The 9,474-nt window shown below is 42.4% G+C and overlaps 3 annotated features.

Annotated features, from left to right (window-relative positions):
- Positions 524-693: an enhancer, noted in NCBI's record as "experimental_42793 CRE fragment used in MPRA reporter constructs". NCBI's record gives its function as "activates a minimal promoter by MPRAs in K562 erythroleukemia cells, with activity observed for the non-introgressed 15:98772485 variant allele {active_cell/tissue: K562}" and the evidence as "EXISTENCE:reporter gene assay evidence [ECO:0000049][PMID:34662402]".
- Positions 3,872-4,373: an enhancer, noted in NCBI's record as "NANOG hESC enhancer chr15:98775748-98776249 (GRCh37/hg19 assembly coordinates)". NCBI's record gives its function as "activates a minimal SCP1, AML or CMV promoter by ChIP-STARR-seq in naive H9 embryonic stem cells {active_cell/tissue: H9 hESC(naive)}" and the evidence as "EXISTENCE:reporter gene assay evidence [ECO:0000049][PMID:30033119]".
- Positions 4,475-5,674: an enhancer, noted in NCBI's record as "BRD4-independent group 4 enhancer chr15:98776351-98777550 (GRCh37/hg19 assembly coordinates)". NCBI's record gives its function as "activates an origin of replication core promoter dependent on BRD2, P300/CBP, MED14 and CDK7 cofactors, and independent of BRD4, by STARR-seq in HCT116 cells {active_cell/tissue: HCT116}" and the evidence as "EXISTENCE:reporter gene assay evidence [ECO:0000049][PMID:35650434]".

Genomic DNA, 9,474 nt, shown 5'->3' on the forward strand with positions numbered 1-9,474 from the left:
AATCTGCTCCAGGTCATACACTTTTCCCTTCTTTTGCAAATCCTCTATTCTGAATAAGGATGGCCAAGTATGTGCCATACTGCAGCCATGATCTAGGTATAAAGGCAACTGCTCGGTGTTACTATTGCCAAGTGCATTGAACATGAATGATTACAGCTATCGTGGGGTCCCTGGAGCTTGACATGCCTTTTCCATTTGGGGGGATTGCCTAGCTTCCATGCTTACCGTAGAAGGGGACCTCAAGCATCATATAAGCTTGGCACAAAACAAACAGCAGAGATTTCAATGACTTCACATCCCGAGGGAAAGACCAACCAACTTAAGGTAACCTGCTCAAGTACTTCCTACACAATTTAACATCTGACAGTTTGCAGTGTCTAGCCAGGCATGGTGCTGTGTTTTATTACCGGCCATTGAAAATAATTAGTTGGTGACCCAGAAAACTGATATATAAAATCCTTTTAATCACCAATATGGCTTTCAATTACACAGCGTAAACTTATTAACCTTTTTACTGCTGAGATTTGATTTATGGAATTTATCTACATTACCATTAGGAGCAGAGATAAAAAGCATATTATCTGAGGTGTTGGCATTAACAATAACGAGCTGCTTTTTCCCATCGTGGAGACTTAAGTAGCAGTAGCAGCCTCCTGCTAAGTCTCTAAGGATTCATTTGTTTGCTGCATCCATTCATGGTTAGCTGGGGACCTACTGTGTGTCTATGGAACTTTGTCACTTAAAAGGGTGAAGTCCAAATACCTTTGCATGGCTCCAACCCAATTGGACCCCATCCAAATTTTTTAGCTCCCTCTCCTAAAAATTCAGCTGAGAGTTGAATCAAATAATCATACAAGTTCACAATCATAAGCTATACCAAGAGCAATAAAGGGAGAGTAGAAATTCAGTGAGCATGGCTACAGGGGTGCTGATGTGTATAAGGATAAGAGCCACTAGAGCAGCTTCCCTGAGAACGTGACATTTGAGATCCAAGCTTCAAAATTTGTTGGAATTAACCACACATTTTGTGTGTGGAATTAGAGAGATTTGGGGGACATTTTATTAGTTGGTTGGTTTCCTAATCTACTTTGCAAAAAAAAAAAAAAAAACCTTAAAGTGGCTTGCAGAATTATGTAAAACACACAATTGCATTCATTAGAAATAAGGGAGAAACAAAAATTCATTGGTGGGAGCATAAGATGTGGTCAACCCAAAACCCATGCCTTAGCGTCTCATACCTTTGCTCTACGTAAACCATCAGTCTCAGAGACCCATGGCAAGGGAAATCTGATCAATGACTCAATTTCCAGTGCTCACAAAATTAAAAACAATCTATATCGGAATATAGTGAGTATGGAAGTGTGAGTTACCAGGAACCTGAGGAGGCAGCTAGATCAGAGGTTTTCTAGACTTGCCGTCACACATCTAACAGGGTATCAGGGGATCTGGGCCAGGACGAGGAGGCTCAAGATTTCCAGCCTAGGATGGAAAGGGGGGCAGTGTGTAATTCAACAAGAAATTTTCTGCTTTCAGCTGTTCCACATATTAGAATTCTCCATTCTCTTTATTTGGAAGAAAGACTTACAATGCCAATCTATATAGGTTTGAAAGTCTTGAATTCAACTCAATCCCTTCATTTTGCAGATAAGAGAAGGCAAGAAGCATCGGTGGGGCCACCAGCTGGTTAATGTCAGCACTGGGACAGGCCTTCCTGCATAACCTCCCAGAATTTCAGCATGGGCAGCATGAGGAGGGTGAGCCATACAGAGCTCTCAACCTCAGCTCTGATAGCCACATGCTCTAACCACAGGGTTAACTAGTCACAATTGCATGTCTAGTTTGCTTCCATGCAAACAAATGCACTCTGTGCAATTTGCTCGTTTTACTGCACAGAATCATTGTGTGTCTCATTTTCAAACAGATATTCTCCTTAAACATCAGCTCCCCATCATCCCTGGGCTTCAGGAGGGAAAAAAAAAAGCTATCTCTTAACTTCTTAGGTTATCTTAACAAGTCTCTCCTGCTTGTGATAAAGAAATGTGGGAAACTCTCATCAGTCTGGGAATTTAAAGTTTGCTTCGTCTACTTGTAGGAAATTCCATGTCTACTAACCACGCACAAGTCATCTGGTGCTATGGCTAAAAGCAGACTTTGAAGCCTGAAGCCATGTTCATATGAATTCAAACCCCAACTCCACCTCTTTCTAGCTATATGACCTCATACAAATTCCTAAACCCCTGATATCCAACTTACCCAACTACAATACAAATGATAATCAAACCTACTGTGTTTCATGAGGTTCCAATGAGATCATGAATGCATTCACCTTAATAGGGTGTTTAGTATAGAGTAAGCACTCAACAAATTTTGCTATCACTGTTACTATACAAATAATTCTACGGCCATTAAAATGACACCAGTAGAGATGATTCAAGTGATTTTAAAAGATATTTTGCGAAACAAGAGCAATAAAAAAAATCAATGGCACCACATAATCCAGTCAGTGTCTTACTCCACACACAAATCATCATTTGTTCAGCTGGGAAAATTATGAACTGTCTGGAAATAATACAGTAAAGACCGTCAATGACAATTAGAGCCTAAAGAGTCTAATATAGACTCGGCGATGAATCTGGGATCTTCTATTGTACTAAAAGCCATTTATTACAAAAAAATTCTGGAACCACTTTACCATAAGGGGACATCATTTAGTGCTCAATTACAATGCAATTCCACTGGAAGTATATACTAAATGCAGAACATCTACATTAACACCAGGAGAATTTGGTAAGATTGATGTTATTGCAATGAATACCAGATGAATATTAAGTACCTCACTTAAACCTTCTTGGGCCCAGGCACCACCGTTCTTTTGTTCCTGTCATCTCTATTTCAGAGGATTTTTTATGGAGGCAGGAGTTAGGCACAAAGTCCATTTTTATTTACTTGTAATCTAGCTTGGAGCTAGATGGCTCTCAAACATTGATTAATCGAGACATATTGTATAATAATATTAAAATCACAGACATCCACCACCACCACCAAAAGCAATTCATTTTCCAAAGGGCGCTAGGTCTATGTAACGGGAAAATTTGTAAAAGTGGGTAATTTCAGACAAAGCACTGAAAGGACGTTTTAATGGTCCCAGCATGGATTGAACTTAGTGGAGCAAAGAAATCTCAACTGAAGAATTAGGACCTGCCCCGTTCAAACCCTGGGATGTTAATGACTCAGGCGTGGGCTATGAGGTTTTCGTTAACATCCTGTTTCAACACAATGTTCCTTGAGCTGGGAATGAACTTCTCCTGGGGTCATTTTTTATGCTAATCAAAAAATCAAGCTCTGGCTACACAGGAATATGAGCAAATGTGAGGCCAAATTCCCATTATAAAATTTGGGGTCATAAAAAGTAAGTGAAAGCTATGGTTTTCTCACTATTTTTCATGCTACATTCCCAGGCAAGGAGGCAGGGATGCATTACCCAGAGTCCGGGGTAGTGGGTTCCTTGCCTTCCTATCAGATGACCTTTGTTCAGGTCACAGCTCAACCACTTACTAACAGCAAAAACCCTCAGACCTTCAGTTTCCTCTTCAGCAAAATGGCAATAATAAGCTCATTGTGTTGCCCTGTGGATGAAATGAGATGCCACATGTCAAAGCTCCTAGGATGAGTGTTCTCCTCAAAGGGGATCCGATCAGGTTTCCCAGGCCTTGCTCCTCTTCTGCCTTGGATTGAAGCACTTGCTTCATAGAAACCACTGCTGCCCCAACATAAGCACAGATGTTGCTCCAGGCCCGTCCACCACCTTGGGCCAGAATCCTTGTCTCTAGTCCAAAAGAGTCAGATCCCCCCCATGCAGTTGCAACATGGCCCACTTCTAGTTGTCCACTAGGGTGTTGACCCAGCATGTCCCCAGCAGGCCAGTCCCTGCCTTAACTTTCACCACATAGACCCAAACAGGGTCTCAAGACCCAAGACCCCCATTGGATGGGGATGGACAAACGGCAAAGTTGGAAGAAATGCTAAAGAAAGTCCATGCATGGGCAATAAGACTGTGTACCCTCTGGGGAAAAAAAAATGGTGAGTAGGTTAGTTTAAACTGAAAATTGCAAACTGGCAAGCCGAGGGCCAACTGTAGCTTTCACCCCTACAGTGGTTTGCCCCATTTGCAAATAGGGAAATTTCACATTTTAAAAATCTGGATTTGGGCCTCATCCTGTAAAACTAGAAGTTCTAGTTCCTGCACACCAACAATCTCCTGGAGCCCAGGTGACGCTGCCCTTTGGATGCGGCCTGAGCTCTCCTATTCCCTGCTGTCCTGACATGCCTGACTGCCTGTGCCTTCTGGCCCACATCATTCCCTTGGATGATTTACCATATCCATCTGGCCCTGAAAGCTCTGGGATTGTAACCAGTTATTTAATCACACAAAGTTATATTTGACCTTGGCTTGTACTTTCATTCAAGAAATACTCACTCATCTGGCAAAAGGGTTAAATTGGTATCCTAGCTTGAAAGCAGTGGTTCTCAAAGTATGGTCCCCAGAGCACCAGCATTAGCTTCACCTGGAATTAGACAGGACCCATCCCAGTCCTACTGAAGCAGTAACTCTGGAGGTGAGAGCCCAGCTGTGTGTGTGTGTGTGTGTGTGTGTGTTTTGTTTGTTTGTTTTTTTGAGACGGAGTCTCACTCTGTCTCCCAGGCTGGACTGCAGTGGCACCATCTTGGCTCACTGCAAGCTCCGCCTCCCGGGTTCCTGCCATTCTCCTGCCTCAGCCTCCCGAGTAGCTGGGACTACAGGCACCCACCACCGCGCCCGGTTAAATTTTTTTGTACTTTTTAGTAGAGATGGGGTTTCACCGTATTAGCCAGAATGGTCTTGATCTCCTGACCTCGTGATCCGCCCACCTCGGCCTCCCAAAGTGCTGGGATTACAGGCGTGAGCCACCGTGCCCGGCCCAGCTGGGTGTTCTAACAAGCCCACCAGGTCTTTCTGATACATGTCAGGGCTTGAGAACCACTGGAATAGAAGGAAACTAAAGCACGCAAAGCTCCCAGCATGCCCTTCCAAGGACACGTGTCACTTGGGCCAGATCTACCCCTGAACCCTCCAGCCTGTCCCTGAGGTCTCAGATGCTGGCCCAATAATTTCACTGTGCCTCTGTCCAAATCTCATTATTATAGATACAAACTCAGTTACTTCACAAATACTAATCCCTGCATAATCCTCCTAGTGCAATGAAGCAAAATGAAGCCACATCCACAGAAATGTGACAAGGGAATACCAACGGTGCTAAAAAATGAAATATGTGTCAAGTCCCCAAAGAAGTTCATTACCTGAAGGACACATTATCCCCTTCTCTTCCCATGAGTCAGCACAGTCAGTAGTCATTCCTAATTGGTTCACAGCTTAGTATGACATATTAGGATGCCACGGGATGTGATGACACAGCTGTATTCCTGAGGGGATGGCTGAGATGAATCTGTGTACAGCAGAGACAGGTGGAGACAAAGGGAGCAGGTGGAAATGGGTTGTAAATATACTATAACTTAAAAAATAATGGGGTGTTTTTTTCTCTACAGCTTTCTGATGTTTCATCACTAATTAAATATTGAAACCACAAAAGGAGAAATAAAGTTTTGTGGCTGTTTAGATTTGGGGCATAAATGTAAATATTTCGTACCATTAACATGCCTGGTCTCAGAGCATTGAGTTGTAGGCTTATGAGCTGAGAAGGAGGTGGATTAAAGAACATATTAGCAGCTAATGGTGACATCTATTTCTCTTTAGGCCATTAGGAGTTCTGGGGTTGTGCATTCCAGGAAAAGTATTTTTCAAGTTAGAAAATTGATAAGTCTTTTAAACAAAATACAATAGTAGATTCTGTGTTATTAGGATTTTAGTCAAAATCACATTGTGCAGAGCAGAAAGGCTATTGTCAAATGCAGAAAATCAATAGACAAATCTCTTGGAATTCTTGGGTGATTCATACCAGAGAGCAGTATTTGAATAATTTATGGTCTCATCCTCCAAGCTTGCAATGGTGAGGCACTTGGAACCCTCAGACATGGATTCTGCATCTTGGCTTTCGTGTAAGATGATCTATAACAGTGGAAAGAAGCAAGAAGCCTCTGGAACCATATAGTCATAGGCACTTAGAGTTGGGTGGGCCCTCAAAGTTCGACTTAGCCAACTTCCCCCATTATCAGCAGTGCCCAGCCTCTCCACTTATCTCCCTCATCCTGTATCTCAGGATCAGGTGGTGGCAGACACCATAAAACAATTCCTACTAGGAGTTCATTGTTACCCAAAACTCCACCTCCCTACCATTTTTCTCGGGGTTCTATTCTGCTTGAAGGATAACACAAGGAAGTGTCTTCCTCTTCCGCTCCATGTGACACTCTGGTGGCTGGACCTGGAGTCTTTCAACCCACCTTCCTGGTTCAGTTTTCCCATTCACAGCCAAGGAACCACAACTTCCTCATCTGTGAAATGCCTTCCATGATGCCCTCCTGAGGTTCTGGTGCAGAGCAACATCCAAGTAGGATAACCTATGTGAATATTTTGTCAAACAGAGGATAGTGTTGGCTAGTGGGCAGACCCTGTGCCTTGCAGCCAGATGTCTTTGAAGGTGAACACAGAGCCTCAATGTGTGATCTGCAGGAGACAACTTGAAATAAGGACAGAGCAGTTCCCATGAGGGCTTTTGTGAGAACTAAGGAAGATAACACACAAAATCCCTGGTATGCATTAGTGCTTAACAAGCATGGGTCCTTCCCTTTGCCAAGCATTATTACTAAATAAATAAAGTGAGTCTCGCTGAATAGGCTGCTCTGCGAACAAGGCTGTGAAAATCACAGCATCCTCTGGCACCTGTGGCTGGCATTTGTGCCCCTGGTCCCAGCCTCCCCTCTCTAGGCTCAGCTCCCAGGGAGACACCAACAGCAAAGAACCACATGGGCAGGAGGTGTCGAGGATACACCAGACCCCTCCCTCTCTCTTCTTCGAGGAAGACAACACAGACTTGGTGCTGGAAGATACTGCTGAGAGGAATGAAGGGCAAAGGGAGCCATTTGGGGTCCTTTGGAGAGTAGTGGCATTTGGACTACCAAGACTCTTGGAGTTGGGCTATTTTCTGGATAGGAAGAGCTTTGTCCTTGAAAGCGTCAAAAAAACAAAAAAGTCAGAGCAGAACATAAAGAAAAAGAATCTGAGTGATTGTCACTGATGCCCCAACTCCAGCTTAAATGAAAGACTGACAGAAAACCTTGGAACTTTGTCTTATGCTTTCCAGACCAGGGCTGTAGAGGAGGAAAGGACTAGGTACTGGAGCCCCATTCAGGAAAAGCATGTGAGTGGTGTCACTTCCCTAGAGCAAGATAAGCAGGGCATTAGGGTGGAAATCCCTGGAGTGGGTGGGGAGCAAGAATCTTTGCCATTGCACAGAATTGCTGAGCCATTGTGCTGACATTAGTACCTCTCAAGAGGAAGCGATCATCATGACATGCCCCAGATGACAGACACTTATCAATAGTGATTATTGTAATTGCTGTGAAGAAAGCTCAGGTCCTTTGGTCTGAACTTCACTGGGGTTGAAGGTAACAGAGAGTGGGTGATGCAATGTGCAGTCTGCCAAAATTGGACCCCATCTCAAATGAAGAAAGCCAAATGCAATGGTCAAGTGTATAGGGAAATATTAAAAGGCAAGATTAACACACCAAGATCAGGAGGCAGTGAAAAGAATGTGTATGGTTATTTCACTTTTCAGAGAGGTAAGAAACTTGTCTGAGGTCACACAGCCCTAAACTGCAGAACCAGGACTTAGCGACAGGTGTGCCTGGCACCAGTGCCTATGTCCTTTTTACCACTGCTTCCAAAAGTAGAGAGAAGTGGTGCCCCTCAATTGTCCACTGTCTGAAAACAAAACTCTTGCACACTTAATCTGCCCCTAACAATGGACTCAACACCCTCTCACCTTCCTTTTTAGCTTGGCATCACTGTTGGGAAAGAACAATCAAACATGGTAGAATGCACAGAACAAATACGTTGTGAAATTAACATTCCATCTGCAAACCATACACACCACTTGCATTAAACAGAGAGAGACAGTCCTTAGCTCAACTAAAGGGCAGGCATCAGAAAAAAATAGTTATTTTTATTTATATTAGGGTACATTAGCCATCCACCCTTACCTCTTTTAGAGGGTAACGTCCACTCTCTCCAAATACTGCTTTCAAATTGTTTGTTCACATTTAGACATGTTCACGGTAGTCATGCTCTTTTATAGACAGCATGTCTGACATGCTGTCTAAAAAACATTCATAACATTACATAACATTCAGAATGTGGCTCTTCTCTGCATCTCATCATTGGTCCTTCCCAGTTCAGATTCCAGCTGCCTGCAGTTTGTGAGCACAAGAACATGGGGAGGTGGGGGCTGGAGTCCCTACATACAGATGGGCCTTGGGAACATCAGAGTAGTTGAGGAACTTGTCCAAGTCACACAGCTAGTAATTGCAGAGCCAGAATTTAGACCTCAACATTTGCATCACCAAGACATGCTCTCTCCAATATCCCATTCTCTCTTTCTTTCCCTCTCCGTCCCTTTCCCTCTGCCTTCTTTTTCCATCCTTCTTTCTATCACCTTTATTTGTTATAGGTAATTCTCCTTGCTCCTTACCTAACTATAATTCCTTTCAGGGAAATGTCAGGCTATGCAAAAATCCAGTTCTAAAATTCTAACAGGAATACAAATTCAAACTATTCCCATATGAGTGAAAAACTTCCATATGATTTAAAAATCATGTTGTCAATACCTAATGCTGACTTTTATTCTCCAATCAAACAGCTATGGCTGAAAAAAAAAAAAAAGAAAAGACAAATCTTTTGAAGCCCCACTGGGGTAACTATTCCATGATCTAATGTAGTATCTATGAGGTGGAAAGGAAACATTGCTGTAAATATTCAAAATAAATTTCTTAAACCACCCTCCCCCCGTTTTGTATACGTAATCCAAATTTCCATTTGGTCAGGCATAGCATAAAGGTATGTCCTTCCTTTGTTGTTTTCTTCATGTCTTTTACAGTTTGGTAACTTATTAAATGTTCCATTAGGTACTTGACCAAGCTAAACTTTTCATGTATCCTAATACATAACAATAATTGCCTATAAATCACGTTTTTACTCTTAAATTTCCTTTGGTACATGCAGATTAATGAGATTAATGTCTACTGAATTTAGTATTTTTGATTTAACTAGTTTGGAAAAACTCATAGTGAACATACGTTTTGTGTTTACATGCTTCTATTACTTAATATTTCAGAATATAAAATAATAGATGTAACATATATACACATGTATGTCACGTGTGGACGTTACGACGCACAGTTTTAAAATACCTGAAAACACCAGTACCATTACCCAGCAACTTGAACTACCCCTGAGGTAGTATTTTTAATTTCATATTTGAATTT

This window comes from Homo sapiens, chromosome 15 (assembly GCF_000001405.40).
Source record: "Homo sapiens chromosome 15, GRCh38.p14 Primary Assembly".
NCBI lineage: Eukaryota > Metazoa > Chordata > Mammalia > Primates > Hominidae > Homo > Homo sapiens.